This window comes from Homo sapiens, chromosome X, assembly GCF_000001405.40.
Source record: "Homo sapiens chromosome X, GRCh38.p14 Primary Assembly".
NCBI lineage: Eukaryota > Metazoa > Chordata > Mammalia > Primates > Hominidae > Homo > Homo sapiens.
In genome coordinates, this window is record NC_000023.11 from 16,930,084 (window position 1) to 16,952,928 (window position 22,845).

The 22,845-nt window shown below is 43.2% G+C and overlaps 1 protein-coding gene across 17 annotated transcripts in view, besides 1 other annotated feature; it reads left to right on the top strand.

The window, feature by feature from the left end:
• Positions 394-698: a transcriptional cis regulatory region, noted in NCBI's record as "candidate enhancer chrX.345 targeted for multiplex CRISPR interference". NCBI's record gives its function as "positively regulates REPS2 gene expression with high confidence in K562 cells {active_cell/tissue: K562}" and the evidence as "EXISTENCE:mutant phenotype evidence [ECO:0000015][PMID:30612741]".
• REPS2 (RALBP1 associated Eps domain containing 2) overlaps positions 16,575-22,845 on the top strand; it is a 249,998-nt gene continuing 243,727 nt past the window's right edge. For all 17 annotated transcript variants that reach the window (XM_017029956.3, XM_011545603.3, XM_011545606.3 and 14 more), the window contains exon 1: positions 16,575-17,051. In XM_017029956.3, the coding sequence (XP_016885445.1) occupies positions 16,779-17,051 (273 nt within the window). In that variant the 5' untranslated portion in view covers positions 16,575-16,778. The remainder of the gene's footprint in view (positions 17,052-22,845) is intronic.

The following is a 22,845-nucleotide window of genomic DNA, read 5'->3' on the forward strand; positions in this document are numbered from 1 at the left end:
CTGATGAACTGCTTCAGATTAAAGGAAGCATGACCATTAAGTGCAATGTATCCTGGAGTGGATCCTGATTGAGGGAAAAAAAAGGTTTGGTTTTTTTTTTTCCCTTTTACTTGAAAGTACATTAGTGGGACAATTGGTAAAAATTGAATAAAATTTGTGGATTAGATGATAGTGACTTCTTTTATTTTGATAATCGTATTGTCGTTATACAAGAGAATATTCTTGTGTTTAGGAAATGTACACTGAAGTACTCAGGGGTAGAAAGGGTATTATGTCTGCAACTTATTCTCAAATGACTCAGGAAAAGAAAATAGATGGAACGTGGAAAGGCGAATTTAAAAAATCTCAGGATCCTCTAGATTTCTTGTGCAACAGGAAAGGTCATTGCAACACTCTCTTCCAAATGAATAGCTGTTACTAACATTAACGCAGCAGTCAGATCCCCGTGGAGAGGTAAAAGGCCTCACGTATCTGTGAAGGACGGCCTCCACAGATTATTCATGAGTAAATTCTTTGCTGACCTTCCAGAAACAAGGACATGCCAATGGTAACTTTAGGTCTACCTCATAAAACTAGTCTGTTCCATTCTGCACTGATAATGTCATCACAAGCTTATCTTCCCAGGTGCAGAACAAAGACAAGGCTCATTCCTCCTCCTACCCAGAGATGTCTGCATAATTGACTCTTCCTTTACTCCCTTTCTCTTTTCAGACATTCACTTCATTTTATATGAAATATAGTATTTGCCTAACTGCCTACCTGCCCCGTTCCTACACACCTGTCCTCCCTTTAAGGAAATGTAAAAACACAAAACCTGAAAACTGCAGAAAAACAGCAGCCGATGTGTCTGTGGCTTGTGTTTTTCCCAGAAGCACTCTAAAGTGGCTTAATAAACTTAGATAATTAAGACTTATGCCTCAGTCACTCACTTCAACTGTAGAGAGAGAGTGAGAGAGAGAGAGAAAAAAAAATAATAAATGTTTGTTGATAAAGCAAATGTGGTAACATTTGGAAATTCTGGGTTAAACGTATACAGGAGTTCTTTGGATTATTTTTGCAAATTTCTGTGAATCTCAAATTACTGCAAAAAGTTAATAAAATAAAATAATGCTCATGAATTTTTTAAAATCCTGTGTGTTCTAAGTTTATGAATAAATTGACATTAATTTGACCCCAAAATAATATTAAAAAGCACTTTGCAAATTTGAGAGAGACTCTGAGGAACAAGAGAGAAGTTAGGAACCAGTGTTATGGTTTAAAATGTACCCATAAAATTTCTTCATGTGTCACCTCTGAGACTAGGTCGTAAAGGCAATATGGTTGCAGAAGCATTTTCTCTTAGATCACTAGCTCTGGGTTTGGAAGCCAGCTGTCATGTCATGAGGCCACTCAGGCACCCTGTGGAGAGGCCCACATAAGAAGGAACTGAGGCCTCCTGCCAATATCCGTGTGAGTTAACTGTCTTGAAAATAGCTCCTTCAGCCTCAATCAGGACTTTAGATAACTACATCCCTGGTCAACAGCTTGATTGCAGACTCCTGAGAGACCCTGAGCCCAAGCTGTCAGAGGCATTTGAGCCAGATCGACTCCATCTTGAATAGGGGCTGGGTAAAATAAGGCTGAGACCTGTTGGGCTGCATTCACAGGAGGTTAGGCATTCTAAGTCACAGGATGAGACAGGAGGTAGGCACAAGATACAGGTCACAAAGACCCTGCTGATAAAACAGGATGCAGTAAAGAAGCCGGCCAAAACCTGCCAAAACTAAGATGGTGATGAAAGTGACCTCTGGTCATCCTCACTGCTTATATGTTAATTATAATACATTAACATGCTAAAAGACACTCCCACCAGTGCCATAACAGTTTATAAATGCCATGGCAACATCTGGAAACTACCCTATACGGTCTAAAAGGGGGAGGAACCCTTAGTTGCAGTGGTGGGGGAGGACAGCAGGAGTGGGAACTCCCCACTCCTTTCTTGGAAAACTTATGAATAATCTACCCCTTGTTTAGCATATATCAAGAAATAACCATAAGTATACTCAGTCAAGCAGCGCATGCCACTGCTCTGCCTATGAAGTAGTCATTCTTTTGTCTCTTTACTTCTCTAATAAACTTGCTTTCACTTTACAGATTTGCCCCAAATGCTTTTTTGCACAAGATCCAAGAACCCTTGCTTGGGGTCTGGTAGGGACCCCTTTCCAGTAACAGAGCCACCCAGCTAAGTCACTCCTGAATTCCTGAACCTCAGAAACAGATAATAAATGTTTGTCGTTCAAGCTGCTGTTATGCAGCAAGAAATGACTAATACAATTCCATATCTTAGGCACCTTGAACTCATACTGCTTGGACAGCTGCCTGAATATGAAATTAATCTTTTCCACCAGATTCTGCTATAATATGTAAATTAGAGTAGATGAAGAGGGGGACATTTCCAAGACACAACCAAATCTACATTGTCACTTTGGAAACTGTTATTCATGAGATTATAGTACTTGTTCAGAAGTCATCAGGAAGCAGCTAAACTAAAATTTAAGTTTTCAGTGACTGTCTGGAACTCCTAGAGAAGATAATTAAATAAATGAGAGTAAAAATGTGAAATAAGACATGAAGTTGGGAATGAAATCATGTCATGAAAGTAGGTTTAAACTAGGAGGGAATTTAGTTGCAAAGGAAAACATAAACCTCTTAAGAAAGGAAATCTCGGAAGGGTAGTTTACCACTGTGTTTCTAGTACTTTCCAGGTAATTCTGATTCCTCCCTTGATTTAAATTGACATCATTAAAAAAATTTAAGTTTCTATTTTAATTTCAGGGGGTACACGTGCAGGTTTGTTGCAAGGGTATGTTGCATGAAGCTGAGGTTTGGGCTTCTGTTGATCCCATCGCCCAGATAGTGAACATAGTACCCAATAGATAGTTTTTCAACCCTTGATTCCCCCTCCTTTTGGAGTTCCTAGTGTCTGTTGTTCCCATCTTTATGTTCATGTGTACCAAGATTTAGCTCCCACTTATAAGTGAGAACATGTGATATTTGGTTTTCTGTTTCTGTGTTAATTCACTCAGGATGATGGCCTCCAGCTTCATCCATGTTGCTGCAGGGGACATGATTTCATTCTTTATAATGGCTGCATAGTATTTCATGGTATATATGTACCACTTTTTCTTTACCCAATCCACCATTGATGGGCACTGAGGTTGATTCCATGTCTTTGCTATTGTGAGTAGTGCTGCGATGAACATGTGAGTGCATATGTCGTTTTGGAAGAACGTAAATCAACAATTATTTATCAAGTATCAGATGAGTAAGATATGCTCTTTGTCTTCAAAACGCTACTTGGAAATACCCTTAACTGTGAAAAAGGGTGTACTGGCCTCATCGTCCTCGTCCTCATTTAGTTCCTTTGTTTGTTTCTATGGTTCTGTATTAAGAAGCAGTTTTCTTTTTCTTTTTTCTTTACACCAATGTCACTTGCCAAAGCAGTTTTCTTATTTAAAATTTATCTCCAGAGAGAACTTGTGTAGCAACAAGAGGAAAGCTATGTGTACTAGAGTTATAGTTCACAGAGCAGGAATCACTGTTGATGTAAATCAGTTAACTGAAATTGTGATTTATGTACCTGCACTCTCCTGTGAGTTGTGACACCCCCAAGAAAGTGATAAATGCATCTGTGGCCTTACAAGGCAGAGAATTGAATCCCAGCTGACTCAGTAGCCACATCAACTTGGTCAAAGTAGAAGAGGGTAGGAAACAAAAATGAAGAATGAGACCACCATCTATATTTACAGTAAAAGGATCCTGTTCGCAGTGCTGGGATAGCAGTCTTTGTTTATTAAGCATAATGCTATATAGACTGTACTGAAAGCACTTAAATATTTACAGGTTGGCTTGTGCTGCACATGTTTTTTTGTGAGATATGGATCGTATTACTCTCTGATATAAAATCCTGGCTCAGGTTGGATTATTTGGGAGCAGAAACTGAGATGGGGGTTTTTTGTGTTGGTGCCTTGATGGGGAGGCACTCTCAGAAGAAGGGGTGTGAGGGAAGCAGGATGGGGCTGGAGAGGGAGCTAGGCAAGGAAGTGGTCTCTGCTGGAGACTTCCCTTAGCCTGAGCCCACGGGCCACTCCGGAGCATGATCAGAACCAGAGTCGGTCCCACTTTGAGTCAAGGAGCTGGCCTTTTAAGGGAGTCAGCCAGTCCTTGCCTGTGGGCTGTTTCATGGGAGGTGATGGAGGTGTAACCTCCCTGAAGTGACTAGTTTGGCTGAGGGTAGTGTCCAAAGAAGGGAGCAGCTGTGAACCATTAGCAGACAGCACTCACTGGTATGTCCATCATCTGGTGAAGGGAATCTTGGCAGTAAACCAACAGGCCTACCCTAGGTCTGAAATTTTCTCACAGTCATTATGGCAGAGTCTGGCCAGATATTCCCCAAACTCCTCACTTCTTGGGTACACAGTTTGATGATATTTCCTAGCCTTATTTGCCATATGACTGATTTCCAACCAATGGAAAGCAGAGAGGTGATTTGTGCCACCTCTGAGCCTGACCCCCACATAAACCCCCATCTTTCCAGCTCTTCTGAGTTCCCACTTGCTTTCTTTTTCTAACCACTAGATGCAGAAGATCTAGTGGAGGACTTTGAGGACCTAGGGGCTGGAGGAGCCAGTAGATGGTGTCCCTGGATGAATATGACTAAAACCACCCTTTCTACAGGGGTGACATGAGCAGGAAATAAACCGGCATTATGTTAACCCACTGACATTTGGGGATTGTTACAGCAGTTAGCCTACCCTGACTCATTTGAACATTCCATTTTTCAGAAACATAACCAGCTTTGGAAAATTTGATTTTCAGAATTCTGTCAATTTCATCAATTATAATCCTTGCTCTCAACTCTATGACGACTAAAATGCTGAATAACTGAAAAATTCTTTCTTAGTCTTTTAAAAAATAAAAAAAGCTCTAAAAATAAAGCTCTAATGATAAATTTGAGTATTATGGGCAATTTTTAAAAGCACAATGAAAAGATGTGGTCGCGATAATAATTATCCAAAACCCTGTTCTGGGAAACAAAGCAGGAAGCTGCTTTCCCAAGGTTAACAAGTAGTGAGAACTCTTGGCTCCAGTTTGTCTGACTTAACCATTGGGCTTTACCAGTGCACGGAAAGCTTTTAACATTTCTGCTCAGCCATTCCCAGGGATACCAAAGGCTTAATTCCACGGAGAGGGGTGAACTGTCTGATACTTTACATAAGAGGGCAGCAGGGCTGCTGGGAACAATTCTTTGTTACTTGAGAGCAGCCACCTTCTCAGTTTGTTGGGCTTCAGAGGACACAGTTGGTATAGGAAGAAAGAGGGCACATGATCACACATCTGCATGGGTACACGTACACACACACATGCACACACACACATACACACAAGGGTGGGTGTAAGATATAACTTCACCAAAATTCCAAGCTGGTTTTATGGTAGACAGTCATTTGTTTGTTTGTTTTTTTTAGACAGGGTCTTGCTCTGTCACCCAGGCTGGAGTGCAGTGGTGCCATCTCAGCTCACTGTAGCCTTGACCTCCCAGGCTCAAGTGATCTTCCCACCTCAGCCTCCCAAGTAGTTGGGACTACAGGAGCACACCACCATGCCTCGCTAATTTTTGTAGTTTTTATAAAGATGAGAACTCGCTATGTTGCCCAGGCTGGTCTCGAACTCCTGGGCTCAAGCAATCCATCGGCCTTGGCCTCCCAAAGTGCTGGGATTACAGGTCACCATGCCAGGCTGAGACAGTAACTTGTAAGATTTAATTGTTGGTCGGGTGCAGTGGCTCACCCATGTAATCCCAGCACTTTGGGAGGCTGAGGCAGGTGGATCATGAGGTCAGGAGTTCAAGACCAGTCTGACCAACATGGTGAAACTCTGTCTCTATCAAAAATACAAAAATTAGCTGGGCGCTGTGGCGGGTGCCTGTAATCTCAGCTACTCGGGAGGCTGAGGCAGGAGAATTGCTTGAACCTGGGTGGCAGAGGTTGCAGTGAGCCGAGATCATGCCACGGCACTCCAGCCTGGGTGACAGAGTGAGACTCTGTCTCAAAAAACAAACAAAAAAAGATTTAATTGTCATTAGTGGTTTGTGGGGCACATAAGGGTTCAAGAACTTTAACCCCTGTCTTTCTTGATGAGTTTAGAACTACCTGGGTAAGGTCCATGTGCACATCAACCTTGTTGTTGCTAGACTTGGGTTGGAGATGATGATTAGGATTGCAGCCACACTCAGGCTACTTCTTACATATTCTATCCCCTTACTTCCCCCACCTCAGAGTCTATAAAACAGACCTATACCTGGGAAGCTGCTAGGAAATTGCTGTCTTCTAATCATCAAGTCCTGCAGGTGGTAACAGAGAGGACCCAAATTACGTGTGCTTTCTAGATGGAATCGGGGTTAGAGTGGGGGTAGAGTGGAGTCCCCTCTGAGGGCAACAGAATTCAGAGGTGGTAGTAGGAGAGGGAGGTAGGAGAGAGAGAAAGAAAGAGACAGAGAGAGAGAGAGAAAGAATATTAGCCTGTTCTCACACTGCTAATAAAGACATACCTGAGACTGGATAATTCATAAAGGAAAGAGGTTTAATTGACTCACAGTTTCACATGGCTGGGGAGGCCTCACAATCATGGCAGAAGTTGAAGGAGGAGCATAGGCACGTCTTACGTGGCAGCAGGCAAGAGAGCTTGTGTAGGGGAACTGCTCTTTATAAAACCATCAGATCTCATGAGACTTAATCACTATCATGAGAAGAGCATGGGAAAGACTCACCCCCATAATTCAATTACCCCCCACCAGGTCCCTCCCATGACACGTGGGAATTATGGGAGCTAGAATTCAAGATGAGATTTGGGTGGGGACACAGACAAACCATATCATGGAGGAAAAGAGAGGGGGAGAGAGACAGAGAGAGAGAGAATGAACCAAGAATGATCAATTTCTTCTCCCTTTCATCACTTCTCTTTCCTTAGAGAAGAGTGAGGGGGACTAGGAGAAGTGCCAATGTTACTTCATCAATATTCCTTCCTGAGGAGTAGAGAGGAAGCTTTCTCATGAAAATAATGAGGCCAGGGGAATAGGATTCTCTCTCACACTGTTAAAGATCTGCCTTTTTTCACTAATAGCAGAAAAAAATATTAAAATCATTCAAACAGGTGATTATTTAGTGTTTATATTGGTCCATCCCTTAATAAATACCTTTCAAAATTCACCAATCTTTGAGATACACTCAATAGTACAGTCATGCGTTACCCAATGACGGGTATGTTCTGAGAAACACGTTGTTGGGTGTCTTCGTTGTTGTGTGAACATCACAGGGTGTACTTACACAAATCTAGATGGTACAGCCTACTACACACCTAGGCTATGTGAAAATTGTCAGAATCAAAATGGAGTCGCTTGTGTTAAAAAAAAACACACAAAAACCTGACAAATAGAGCTGAGGAAGGCTACGAAGAGAGGGTTCTCACACTTGTATGCCTGATAACAAAATTGCAACAAAAGACTGCAAAAACTGCAAACTTACACAAATGTCATCACAACCTTCTGTAAAGACATCTGACCAGCAACTGCCTGTCTAAACTTGAACTGGTGCCATCCTTGTTATTGATCCTTGTCACCAAAAATAACCATTTCAAAACAACTATGTAACCTTCATTTTTCCTTGAAAAATTTTTGTCTTCCTTTACCTCCACGAATATGCACAAGTTTACTGTGGCATACATATTCCCATTGCAATGCCCTATTCCCACATGAACAACATTTTCTTTTCTTTTTTCTTCTTCTTTTTTTTTTTTCTTTAGACAGAGTCTCCCTCTGTTGCTCAGGCTGAGTGCAGTGGTACAATCACGACTTACTGCAGCCTCAGCATCCTGGGCTCAAGTGATCCTCCCACCTCAGGTTCCCAAGTAGCTAGGACTACAGGTGCACGACACAATGCCCCACACCCAGCTAATTTTTGTATTTTTTTGTAGAGACAGGGCTTTGCCATGCTGCCCAGGCTGGTCGTCAACTCCTGGGCTCAAATGATCCACCCACGTTGGCCTCCCAAAGCACTAGCATTGCAGGCATGAGCCACCGTGCCTGGCCATAAACATCATTTTCTTTTAGAGAGCCTCTCTCTGACATTTAAGTTGACAGCTATATGGTACAGCCTATTGATCCTAGACTACAAACCTGCAAGCACAGCATGATTGTATTAGTCAATTCTCACACTGCTGTAAAGAAATGCCTGAGACTGGGTAATTTATAAAGAAAAGAGGTTTAATAGGCTCATGGTTTTGCAGGCTGTACGGGCAGCATCTCTTCTGGGAAGGCCTCATGGAGCTTTTACTCATTGTGGAAGACAAAGTGGGAGCAGGCATCTTACATGGCAGAAGCAGGACTGAGAGGGGTTGTGGGGAGGTGCCACACACTTTTAAACCACCAGATCTCATGAGAACTCACTCACCATCGTGAGAACAGCAACGAGTGGAAGGGGCTAAACCATTCATGAAGGATCCACCCCCATGATCCAATCATCTCCCACCAGGCCCCACTTCCAACACTGAGGATTATAATTGAGCATGAGATTTGGATGGGGACACAGAGCCAAACCATATCATTTTGCCCCTAGCACATCCTAAATCTGATGTCCTTCTCACCTTGCAAAATCCCATCATGCCTTCTGAATAGTCCCTGAAAATCTTAATTCATTCCAGCATTAACTCAAAAGTCCAATGTTCAAAGTCTCATTTGAGGCAAGGCTAGTCCCTTCTACCTATGAGCCTGTAAAATAAAAAACAAGTTAGTTACTTCTGAGACACAATGGAGAGATAGGTATTGGGAAAATATACCCATTCAAAAAAAAAGAAATTGGACAAAAGAAAGGGGCTACAGGCCTCATGCAAGTTTGAAACCCAGCAGGGCAGTCATTAAATCTTAAAGCTCCAAACTAATCTCCTTTGACACCACGTCTTGTATCCAGGACACACTGGTGCAAGAGGTGGGCTCCTAAGGCTTTGGGTAGCTCCACCCCTGTGGCTTTGCAGGGTTCAGCCCCCATGACAGCTCTCATGGGCTGGCATTGAGTGCTTGTGCCTCTTCCAGGTGCAGGGTGCAAGCTGTTGGTGGATCTACCATTCTGGGGTCTGGAGGATGGTGACCCTCTTCTTACAGCTCCACTAAGCAGTGCCCCAGTGGGGATTCTGTGTGGGGGCTTCAACCCCACATTTCCCACTCTGCACTGCCCTAGTAGAGGTTCTCCATGAGGGCTCTGCCTCTGCAGCAGTCTTCTGCCTGGAATCCAGGCTTTTCCATACATCCTCTGAAATCTAGGTGGAGGCTCCCAAGCCTCAACCCTTGCACTCTGCACACCTGTAGGCTTAACACGAGGTGGAAGCAGCCAAGGCTTGTGGCTTCTACCCTCTGAAGCAGTGGTCTGAGCTGTACCTGGGCCCCTTTGAGCCAGGGCTGGAGCAAGAGCAGCTTGGATGCAGGAAGCAATGGCCCAAGGGTGCACAGGGTGGCAGGGCCCTAGGCCTGGCTCAGGAAACCTTTCTTCCTTCCTAGGCCTCTGGGTCTGTGATGGGAGAGGCTGCAATGAGGGTCTCTGAAATTCCTTTGAGGCCTTCTCCCCATTGTCTTAGGTGTTAGCACTTGGCTCCTTTTTACGTATGCAAATTTCTGCAGCCTGCTTTAATTCCTCCCCTGAAAATGGGCTTTTCTTTTCTACCACATGGCCAGGCTGCAAATTTTTCAAACTTTTACACTCCGCTTCCCTTTTAAATGTAAGTTCCAGTTTCAGGTCATTTCTTTGCTCACATATATGAACATAGGCTGTTAGAAGCAGCCAGGCCATATCTTGAACCTTAGAAATGTCTTCTGCCAGATACCCTAAATCATCTCTCTCAAGTTCAAAGTTCCACAGATCCCTAGGGCAGGGGCACAATACAACAAAGCTCTTTGCCAAAATGTAACAAGAGTAGCCTTTGCTCCAGTTCCCAGTAAGTTCCTTATTTCCATCTGAGACCTCATCAGCCTGGCCTTCATTGTCCATATCACTATTAGCATTTTAGTCATAACCATTCAGTCAGTCTCTAGGAAGTTCCAAACTTTCCCACATCTTCCTGTCTTCTTCTGAGCCCTCCACACTTTTCCAATCTCTGCACGTTACCCAGTTCCAAGGTCACTTTCACATTTTCAGGTATCTTTATAGCAATGCTCCACTCCTAAGTACCAATTTTCTGGAAAAAAAAAAAAAAACCAAACAAAAAAAACATAATGTAAAGAATATCTCTGCAATGGGAATAATTGGATTCCATGAGAAACAATAAAAAAGAATATCTCTTGATGTCTCTTGGCTATTTCTGAAAATATGATCCTTCTGGCTTTTCTGGCCATCATGGAGCCAAAACAAGTGTGTAAGCTTTGAACCACAAAAAAGTTCTTGTTTACTGTCAGCCTTAAGGGATATGAGTGCTTCTAGTTTCTAAATTCTTATCTGTGTTTATTTTGAAGTTTGATAACTATTTCTTCTATTGAAAAAACTTTTAGAAATAAAGAACAGTACTTGGCATTCCTTAGATATTAACATATTTTTACAAGTGCCATTTTTTTTTCCTCCTGTGCCCTGGGTATTACTGCTGTTGGGTCCCCTTTGGCTGTGCCCCACATCTTTTGTTGAGCAGCTTCTTTCTTACATCCTGGAGACCTTCAGAGCTTCCCTTTCTTCTGACCCAGCCTGCTGTCCCTCACTCATTATTTCCAGGTTGCCAAGTCTCTGGGGCTCCTCTCTTTCTGTCGTGTCCTTTTACCTCCCCAGTTCCACCCACTCTCAGTCAACAGCCATCTCAGCCCCACTGATCAAGCCTTCCTGGCTGAGCTCTGGCTCATGAATTTTCTCTCTTGTTTCAACTCCCATGGCAGTTAACCCAGAGTATACAGTTTAGCACTTAATTGTATATTTTCTTTCATTTATTTTTATTTGTTGTGTTAGTTTTGTCTCTTCCAGTGAGGCTTCAAACTCCTTGAAAGCAACACATCTTCTATTAAAGAAAAATTCCTCTTAGTACTCTGGTAGGGATACAGTAAATACTCTCTTTTCTATCAATAAATGTCAATTGTCTCACTGATAGATTGATAGGCACAGATGTGAGACTTTCTACCTGTCTCCGTCATATCTGGTGCTTAATAAATATCTGTCAAATTTATTATACTTAGTTGAGTCATAAAGATCAGTTCTGAATCTGGTATTCAGTGGGACAAATCACACTGTCTCTGCATCCATTTTCTCATCTGCAAAATGGAGATTAAAAATGTCTTCCCAATCTACCTCAGAGAGTTACTATGAGGCTTAAATGAGATAATAGTTACAAAAGTGCTTTGAAAAGCTTTGCAGCTTTTTTCCTCTACTGCATGAAGATTAGGGATTATTATAGCTCACATTTCCTTTGACAGTAGTCACAGGGTAAAGTAGGGTTTGGTGTTTATCACACAGAGTGTGTCCCTTTCTAGCCTTTATTAGAATGGTTGGCCATTCTCAGGGAAACCTGAGTACAACCAGAAAGGTAGGAAGAGAATAAACATCTGGCTTCCAGTTTTCCTGAGAAGGTATCACAGCTATGGAAACTACAAAGGTGGTGAAATTTCTTTTCTTTTCTTCTTCTTCTTCTTTTTTTTTAAGACAGTTTCGCTCTGTTATCCAGGCGGGAGTGCAGTGGCACGAACTCAGCTCACTGCAACTTCCGCCTCCCAGGTCCAAGAGATTCTTGTGCCTCAGCCTCCCGAGTAGCTGGGATTACAGGTATGAGCCATCACGCCCAGCTAATTTTTGTATTTTTAGTAGAGACAGGGTTTTGCCATGTTGGCCAGGCTGGTCTTAAACTCTTGGCCTCAAGTGATCTTCCCATCTTGGCCTCCCAAAGTTCTGGGATTACAGGCATGAGCCACCATGCGTGGCCTTCTTTCCTTTTTTAAATTCTTTTTTTCTTTTTAAATTTTAAATAGAAGCAGGGTCTCATTATGTTGCTCAGGCTGGTCCGGAACTCCTGGGCTCAAGTGATCCTCCTGCCTCAGCCTCCCAAAGTGATAGGATTGCATGCATGAGCTACCACGCCTGGCCAGGTGGTGAGATTTTGAAATGGAAATTCCCAAGTGAAGTTAGTCTTTATTGCTCCTAATTTACATATCCTTTCTGCACTCTTGTTCCATTCCGAAGCTTTCTGTTGTTTTAGTTCCCTCCTGGCAGGTTGGATGCAAGACGTGGTGTAAAGAAAGCTTAGTGAAGAGGTGAGAACTTCTTCCTTCTGGAGAAGATCCTCTTCTCTGTTCCATTTTTCCAGATTCCAAAAGGAAAATATTACTCTGGTTATCACTGAGGTTGACATCATTTTTTATTTTTCTTCTTCTTATGTATCTCTCTTCACTCTCTCCCCCTTTCCTTTCCTTCTTTTTGTATTTACAATTTCATGATTTTTTCCCCTTCTCCTCTCTTCCTGACCTTGGTCCTTTAGTTGACCATAATACCAAAGTATATTTGTTATCGTCAGTGGTATTTCTTGAGATGTTTTTTGTCTCTGTTTTTAATAAAAATAAAACTATTTGGGGTGTAAGTTTTATATATCCCTTTATTAAAGCAAATTATAAAATGTATTAATTTTTTTATTGATACATAATAATTGTACATATTTACGGGGTATATGTGATATTTTGGTACATGTATACAATGTGTAATGATCAAACCAGAATAACTGGCATATCCATAATCTCAAACATTTATTATTTCTTTGTGCTCGGAACATTTCAAATCTTCTAGGTATTTTGAAATGTACAATAGGCTGGGCATGGTGGCTCATGCCTGTAATCCTAGCACTTTAGGACGCTGAGGCAGGTGGATCACTTGAGCCCTAGGAGTGGGCTAGCCTGGGCAACATAGCGAGACCTTGTCTCTATAAAAAATACACAAATTAGCTGGGCATGGTGGTGCACGCCTATAGTCCTAGCTACTCAGGAGGCTGAGGTAGGAGAATTGCTGGAGCCCAGGAGGTCGAGGCTGCAGTGAGCCGTGATTGCACCACTGCACTCCAGCCTGGGTGACAGATTGAGACCATGTCTCAAGAAAAAAGAAATACACAATAAACTGTTAATTATACTCACCTTACTTTGCTATCAAACACTAGATTTTACTCCTTCTAACTGTATTTTTGTATCCATTAGCTAACCTCCCTTCGTCCCCCAGCCCACCTTTCCCAGGTTCTGATAACTATTGCTCTACCTCCATGAGATCAACTTTTTCAGCTCTCCCATATGAGTGAGAACATGTGATATTTGTCTTTCTGTGTCTGGCTTATTTCACTTAACACAATGACCTTCAGGTCCATCCACGTTGCTGCAAATGACAGGATTTCATTCTTTTTTATGGCTGAATAGTATTCCATTGTGTATATATAACACATTTTCTTTATCCATGCACTATTGAGGGACACTTAGGTTGATCCATATCTTGGCTATTGTGAATAGTGCTGCAATAAACATGGAGGTGCAGGTATCTCTTTGATTACTGATTTACTTTCCTTTGAATAAATGCCCAGTAGTGGGATTGCTGGATCACATAGTAGTTTTGTTTTTAGTTTTTTGAGAAACGTCCATACTGTTTTCTATAAGGGCAGTACTAATCGTATTCTCAACAGTGTAAAAGACTTTCCTTTTCTCTTATATATGGAGTGAGATGATATCTCACTGTAGTTTTGATTTGCATTTTCCTGATGATAAATGATGTTGAGCATGTTTTCATATACCTGTTGGCCATCTGTATGTATTCTTTTGAGAAATGTTTATGCAGATCCTTTGCCCACTTTTTAATGGGATTATTATTATTTTTTTGCTGTTGAGTTGAGTTCCTTCTATATGCTGGATATCAGTCTCTTGTTGGATGAATAGTTTGCAAATATTTTCTCCCATTCTTCAGGTTATCTCTTCATACTGTTAATGTTTCCTTTGGTGTGCAGAAGCCTTTTAGTTTAATATATTTCCATTTGCTTATTTTTGTTTTTTTGGCCTGTGCTTTCAAGGTCTTAGCCATAAAATCCTTGTCCAGACCAATGTCCTGAAGCATTTCCCCAATGTTTTCTTCCAGTAGTTTTACAGTTTTAGGTCTTATGATTAAGTCTTTAATACATCTTCAGTTGATTTTTGTATAGGTGAGAGAGACATAAAGGTCTAGTTTTATTCTTCTGCATATGGATATCTGGTTTTCCCAGCACCATTTATTGGAAAGACTGTCCTTTCCCAATGTATTTCCTTGGTGGTTTGTTGGAAGTCAGTTGGCTGTAAATGTGTGGGTTTATTTCTGGGTTCTCCAGTCTGTTCTATTGGTTTATGTGTCTCTTTTCATGTCAGTACCATGCTGTTTTGGTTACTATAGCTTTGTAGTATATTTTGAAGTCAGGTAGTGTGATGCCTCCAGCTTTGTTCTTTTTGCTCAGGATTGCTTTGGCTATTCAGGGTCTTTTGTGGTTTTATACAATTTTTAGGATTGTTTTTTCTATTTTTGTGAACAATGTCATTGGTATTTTGATAGGGATCACAGTGAATCTGTAGATTTCTTTGGGTAGTATGGTCATTTTAATAATATTAATTCTTCCAATCCATGAGCATGGGATGCCTTTCCATGTTTTTGTGTCCTCTTCAATTTTTTAAATCAATGTTTTGTAGTTTTCTTTGTAGTAAAATATATTTTTTATTAGTGCTTAACCCTAGACTGATGTTTTCTTTTGGGTTATTGTTTCCCAGTGAGGCTTCATGCATATATTTCTGCAGGTCTTCCCAGGAAAAATGACATTTAAAAAGAGAATTTTTGGAAAAGAGATGCAGATATGTGGGCCTGATGCTGGAACTTCCAGTGCAATGGTGGGACAGACTTTTTTTCCAGTGGCTTCTTTTCTGGTCTCTCTTTCTCTCTCTCTCTTTGAGACAGAGTCTTGCTCTGTTGCCCAGGCTGGAGTGCAGTGGTGTGATCTTGGCTCACTGCAACCTCTGTCTCTTGGGTTCAAGTGATTCTCCTGCCTCAGCCTCCCAAGTAGCTGGGACTGCAGGCACTCACCACCATGGCCCAGCTAGTTTTTGTATTTTTAGTAGAGATGGGATTTCACCACGTTGGCCAGGCTGGTCTCGAACTCCAGGACTCAAGTGATCTGCCTGCCTTGGCCTCCCAAAGTGCTGGGATTACAGGCATGACCCACCGCGCCCGGCCTGGACTTTCTTTTAAAAGCGGCTAGAGGGCCAGGCGTGGTGGCTCAAGCCTGTAATCCCAGCACTTTGGGAGGCCGAGGTGGGGGGGTGGGGGTGGGGTGGATCACCTGAGGTCAGGAGTTCGAGACCAGCCTGACAAACATGGTGAAACCCCGTCTCTACTAAAAATACAAAAATTAGCCAGGAGTGGTGGCAGGCGCCTGTAATTCCAGCTACTCGGGAGGCTGAGGCAGGATAATCGCTCGAACCCGGGAGGTGGAGGTTGCAGTGAGCCAAGACTGTGCCATTGAACTACAGCCTGGGCAACAAGAGCGAAACTCCTTCTCAAAAAAAAAAAAAAAAAAAAAAAGTGGTTAGAGTACTAGCCAGGGGGAAGCAAGCACATTTGAAAAATATAGTGTGTATGCTTTAGGATAGGGAGGAATGGAGAGAGAGAGGAGGACATGGACCGGGGTGGAAAAATGTGGGGTTTCGCATTGATTTTTGGTGTGAGCTTGAACAAGTTTTGTACTAAAAAAAATGCCTGTTTTACTACTAAAATAAGTGCTTCCTTTGGAGAGTGAGGATCCTCTGTTACTGAGGTTTGTATTTTCAGGCCCTAGCATATAAATCTGCTACATACGAGATATTCAACTGGTTTTGGAGGAATGAAGGTGAACATGGCAGTTTCCTCATCTGTAAAAGCAGGGTTTGGACGAAATGATCTGCAAAATGGGTCTTTTTGTACTCTTACTACTCTAGTATTTACGAGTAACCGATGTTATTCCTTATAAAGTCTCAACTCCTGGTTTGAGCCATGTCTGACGAGGGGGCCTAACTCCAATACCACCCTGAACACTCTGGGGTCAGTGGGACCCTGTTTGTACAGACGTCTGCGTCTTCCGGCTCTTTAGGACATAAGCAGTACTGCTATGGAAGAAAGGAAACCTAATTTCCCATGCCTTGTCCCTTTCTGGAAAGGGCATGGCGTGGTGTGGGCACCACACCTGCCCCAGCCTTCTAGCAAGAAAACAACACAACCTTCCCCGCTCCCCGAAAAGAGCTTCTCTCCAGTTGGGTCTAGATGCCCCCTTCCCAACCAGGGCGGATGGCCAAAGGCTCCGCTCCCTTGCAGGGTAGGCTTGGAAAGGCACGGGGCCCGCCTTCCTGGGCACCGGAGCCTGTGACGGGCGGAGGGCGTGCGGCGCGCTGGGTTAGTTACCTGGCGCTGGGCGGGGCAAGCGGGAGGCGGGGGCGGGGCCGGGGTGACATCTCAGGCTGTGATTGGGCCGCGCCGCGCCTGTCTCCATGTGCCGCGCAGCTGAGGCACAACATTCAAGCCCGGGGGTGGGGCCGGCGCGCGCCGGGAGGAAGCGGCCGCGCGGCAGCTGCGGGGCGTGGGGGTGGTGGTGGCGGCGGCGGTGGTGGCGGCGGCGGCGGCGGCGGCAGCTGAGGCCGAGGAGGCGGTGGCTGTGGCGGACGCAGCAGCACCCCAGCTAGGGACAGGGCTCCGCCGCGCCCCCTTGCTGGCCCCATGGAGGCGGCAGCGGCGGCGGCGGCGGCGGCAGCGGCAGCGGCAGCGGCGGGCGGGGGCTGTGGCTCCGGGCCGCCGCCGCTGCTGCTGAGCGAGGGCGAGCAGCAGTGCTACTCCGAGCTCTTCGCGCGCTGTGCCGGCGCCGCGGGCGGGGGCCCCGGGTCTGGGCCCCCCGAGGCCGCCAGAGTCGCCCCCGGCACGGCCACTGCGGCCGCCGGCCCCGTGGCTGACCTGTTTCGGGCATCGCAGCTGCCCGCCGAGACGCTGCACCAGGTGGGTCCCTCCGCCTCCTGTCCCTGCGGGTCTGTGGGGCAGTGTGTGCGGGGGCGGAGGTTGCGAGTGGGGCGACAGGGCTGCCCCCAGGGACCCGGAGGCCTCGGCCAGTTCTGAGAGAGAGGACTCTGCAGCCGGGGATGGCGGCGACGCCCTTGTCCCCGGGGGACACCAGCCTCCTTCGCAGCTCAGCTCCTCGCCCAGTGCTGGGTGCGCTCTCCCCATCTTCCTTCCCTGAGACAGTCTGACACTCTCTCCCCTCCCCCGGCCATTTCTGGGGTTCTGCAGCCGCCCAGACCCAAAGTTTGTCCTGTTCTGGAAGTGGTGTTTGTTTTGGCTGCTGCCTGGTTTAACCTCTGCTCGCTGCTCCTGCCCCTCCCTCTCCTGAGTGGGTTCTCAGGGTGCCTTGCTGGGATTTCAACTTGAAGGGTGTGTGTGTCCGTAGGGTTCGAGGCCCAGGGCTGAATGTTGTCCTCTCTATGTAGTTGTAATATATAAGTATCTACTATATGTAATTGCCCATAACATATTTCTAAATATTAATATTAAATCGAAAACCTTAATGACAAGTTGCAGAACAGGGACACGGGACTGCAAGAGGACGTTTGTCAAGTCAAAACCAAATTTCCCATTTGAGATTAGAGGTGGACTTCAGAAGTCCACCATGGGAAACAGCTGTAGTTTCCCATCTATCATTACTTGGACTTGAAATAGAATTGAAAGGTAAGGGATGTCATAGCTACCACCTTTTGGCTGTTCTATACTTGGAAAAGTACTAGGGGATGATACATACCAGACGCTGTTTTTGTTTTGTGCTTTCCTTGGAGCTTGGAGAAAGACTACTTGATAAGCCTTTGTCTGTCATTTCATGTCACCAGCACTTCATGGTGATAAGACTGTTAATATCAGGTTCAAAACGTGAAATGAAGCTTTTCCTAAAAGCAATAGTATGAATGTTATTAACACCAATGGAATATTTAGAGTGGCGAGTGGTATTTTAAAATCTAGTTTCAAAGGAGAACTGAGGGTTTTATGGTTCACTTGCAATGTCATTGTGTTCATACGTATTTTTAAAAAAATTGCTTAAGACTGCGTTTTATACTGCTGGAGTGTTTTTACTGCTATATGTTTGTGAGCATAACTTTAGACACTTTGTAATCTTTCACCCTTTTGAATTTGGGATTTCTGAAACTGTAACTAGTATTCACAGAACTTAGCATGGCTGTTTATCCCTAAAGAAGTCCTTGATATGTAGACAGTTCTGCCATTGCTGATGAGTAGTTGAGCTGGATCAGGTAAAGAGAAAGTCAGTGTCTTAAAACACAAACCGTGGCTATTACATGAGGCCCTCAGAATAGTCCCGAGCATAATACATTTATTCAGTGCTGTAGCTGCTTCCCAGCTGAAAGAGGAATAATTGACTGAGGCTATGCAGCAAGTAAGTGACAGCTGGGTACCTATTAAGGCTTATTTTGTTGTCAGTAATGCATCGGATAAGAGGAGGTGGGCATAGTAAATCTGAATATGTTGGTTGATGCCTCTTTAGGAATTGGGAAGAAGGATTTCCTGATGTTAGAACCCATGCTTTCTTGAGGTACATATAGTTTTAAAAGGACCCAAGGCACAGTGGCTGTGCGTGAATGAGATTATATTTTTGATGTCCAGTTGAAATCTGCTTGCAAAAGACTGCTTCAGATACTGGCAAAAGGGGACATCCCTGCGAGATTGCTTGGAGTAAATCTCTCAGAGCTCGAAGCTCCCTTATTCAGCCTAGCAAAGCAAAACACATCATCCACCTTTAATCCAACAAAATTACCATAACTCAATATTCTTGGTACAGGTGAAAATGAACATTGAAGGCATCCTGGACATGTGATCCTAAGAGAGTCAAACAAAGTCAGCAACCAGCAGACACCTAATTTTCACCCATCACTTTGGTGGTGGTGGTGGTGGTGGTGGTGGTGGTGGTGTGTGTATGCTCCATCCACTTTAATTTGCATTACCCCATCAGTGTATTAGCCATTCTTTAAAACAAACGTAGATGTTTTTACCCTTTCTCTGTTAAACAGGAACCTGTAAGTTGAGATTTAAGTGCCCCAACAGGTATAACTGCTCAAATCTTGGAGGCACTAACCAGTCCTGATATTTTCTATGGTAACAACCAGGTTTTCCTCTTAATAAGCATACAATTAAGATTACCATAATAATGTTCCAGGAAGAGTGAGAATCTTGCATTCTTACCACAAGTAAATGGTCTATAAAAATACTTATTTTTTATTTATTTATTTTTTGAGATGGAGTCTCGTTCTGTTGCCCAGGCTGGAGTGCGGTGGCGTGATCTTGGCTCACTGCAACCTCTGCCTCCCGGGTTCAAGCGATTCTTCCGCCTCAGCCTCCTGAGTAGCTGGGACTACAGGCGCACGCCACCTCTCCCGGCTAATTTTTGCATTTTTAGTAGAGACGGCGTTTTGCCATGTTGGCCAGGCTGGTCTCGAACTCCTGACTTCAGGTGATCCACCCGCCTCAGCCTCCCAAAGTGCTGGGATTACAGGCGTGAGCCACCATGCCTGGCCTTAACATATTTTTTAATAGACTATTTTTTTTTTTCAGAGCAGTTTTAGGTTCACAGCAAAATTTAGCAGAGTACCCATATATCCCCTGCCCCGACACACCCGTAGCTTTCCTTACTCTCAACGTCCCACATCAGAATAATAGAGTTTTTACAATTGATGAACCTACATTGACACCTCATTATTCCCCAAAGTCTATATATTAGGGCTCACTCTTGGTGTTGTACATTCTGTGGGTTTGGACAAATGTATAATGACGGTTCCACCATTGTAGTATCATACAGAATAGTTTCACTGCTCTAAAAATCTGTGCTCTATTGATTCATCCCTCCCTCTCCACTAACATGTGGCAATCACTGATTTTTTTTTTTTTTTTACTGTCCCCATAGTTTTGCCTTTTTTAGAATGTCATATAGTTGGAGTCATACAGTATATAGGCTTTTCACTTTGGCTTCTTTCATGTAGTACTATGCACTTAAAATTCCTTCATGTCTTTTTATGGTTTGGTGGCTCATTTCTTTATAGTGCTGAATAATATTCCATTGTCTGCATGTACTACAATTTATTTATTCACCTACTGAAGGATATCTTGGTTGCTTCCAAGTTTGGGCAATTATGGATAAAGCTGTTATAAACATCTGTATGCAGCCTTTTTTGTTACATGCAGGAGATAAGCTTTTGACTCATTTGGGTAAATAGCAAGGGGCATGATTGCTAGATTGTATGGTGAGAGTATATTTAGTTTTATAAGAAACTGCCAAACTGCTTTCCAAAGTGATTGTACCATTTTGCGTTCCCATCAGCAATGCATTGGTTTCTTTACAGAGTATTTATTTTCCTTTGCTGACTTATTTTAACAGCAGGATTCTAGCACTAGGTGGAAAACGTATATGAGTTTCTGATGTGTGTCAGGTACTGTCCTAGGTGCTGAGGTTATAATAGTGAATCCAACACAATCTCTGTCTTCATGGAGCTTATGTTCTCATGTGAATGTTTTTACACTTCAGAGTTTTTATTTGGTTGAGAAAAGACTTGAAATATAACATCCAAAAATAAAATGTCAGCCTGGTGCTGTGGCGCACGCCTGTAGTCCCAGTGCTTTGGGAGACCAAGGATGGGAGGATTGCTTGAGGCCAGGACTTTGAGATCAGCCTGGGTAACATAGTGAGACCCTGTCTCTACACAAAATAAAATAGCCGGGCATGGTGGCATGCGCTTGTAGTCCTAGCTACTCTGGAGGCTGAGGCAGGAGAATTGCTTGAGCCCAGGAGTTCAAGGTTATAGTGAACTATGATCGCACCATTGCTCTCCAGCGTAGGCAACAGAGCAAAACCCTGTATCAAAATAAAGTAAAATAAGCCTGTCAAACCCAAACCAAATACATGTCAAACCCAGACCTGATTCTTACCACACACTATGCCTTCTAGTAAAATTCTGGCCTTTGAATACCAACAAAATACTTCATAACCTGGGAAACCAACTACTCTAACGTTTGTTGCTCTGTCTTGAAATACTAAACAAAACCATTTACCTGTTCGTAGACATATTTTCTTTTTCTAGTTTAAAAGTATCCCATTCTGCCATTTTCCACCTAGTGCTAGAATCCTGCTCTTAAAATAAGTCAGCACAGGGAAATAAATACTCTATAAAGAGACCAAAAGACCTTTCAAAATAGGCTATGGCCAGGCCCAGTGGCTCACGCCTATAAATCCCAGCACTTTGGGAGTCTGAGGTCGGAGGATTACTTGAGCCCAGGAGTTCTAGACTAGCCTGGGCAAGATGGCAAAACCCCATCTACACACACACACACACACACACACACACACACACACACACACACACACACACACACACACCCCCGCTACCTACCTCTCTCTGGGGCATGCCTGTAGTCCCAGCTATTCTGGAGGCTGAGGTGGGAGGATCCCTTGAGCCCAGGAGTTTGAGGCTGCAATGAGCCATTATGACACCACTGCACTCCAGCCTGGGTGAAAGAGCCAGACCCTGTCTCATAAAATAAATAAGTAAATAAATAAAATATCTACCTTAAAGCAGCAAGTTTTGTATTTGATGTAATGAATTAACAGACCGCTTTATAATATCTATCTTTTAGGATAGTGTCAGTCTCTTGGAATGCTGTGCATGAGTCATCATTAAAATTGGTTTTCATTAAAAAAATTTTTTTAACATATACACATCTTATTGGAGTTTTCTTTTAAAATTCAAAAATGGGAACATTATTTTTTCAAAGCCAAGTAACAGAAGAGTATATAAAAAAGTCAATTTTGTGCATATCTTTTTACATTTTCTATGCTCATGTAAAACATACATGACTTATGTAATTATACACATATGCTCCAGATCTCATCTGTATTAATTTTTTAAATTATACTTTAGTTCTGGGATACACTTGGAGAACGTGCAGTTTTGTTACATAGGTATATATATGTGCCATGGTGATTTGCTGCACCCATCAACCCATCATCTACATTAGGTATTTCTCCTAATGCTATCTCTCCCCTAGCCCTGCACCCCTGAATAGGCCCCGGTGTGTGATGTTTCCCTCCCTGTGTCCATGTTTTCTCATTGTTCAGCTCCCACTTATGAGTGAGAACATGCGGTGTTTGGTTTTCTGTTCCTGTGTTAGTTTGCTGAGAATGATGGTTTCCGGCTTCATCCATGTTGGTTTTCATTTTTGTGATAGTTAATTCTTGGACATTAAGGGGAATAATTATAAAACACTGTTGCTTCCATATCAAGGGAAATCACTGAATGATTAAAAAAAACCCAATAAGTGTTGTCTGATTGTTTAAACAGCTTTCATTGAGGTAAATAAGTAAAACAAAGCTGTGAGAAGTAGGGAATATTTAAACAATTTGTGCGCATGCCCTCACCTTTGGGGAGAAGTCTTTTCTGAAGGCTCTCTTCTGATTTTTTGAAGCAACTGTTTAATCATTAAAGAAAATTATAGGTAAAAGACAAATTCTTGTGAACTTTCGCTCATTGCTAGATTATTAGGCAGAACTATTTTTTAAAAATTTAAATGAAACAACTTTATATTTTTACATCTTTAGATCATATCATTTTGTAACTATACTTTAGGGAAATAGAGGCCAGCATATTAAAACAGTAACTAGGGGCTGGGCAGGGTGGCTCATTGCCTGTAATCCTAGCACTTTGGGAGGCCGAGGCGGGCAGATCAGCTGAGGTCAGGAGTTTGAAAC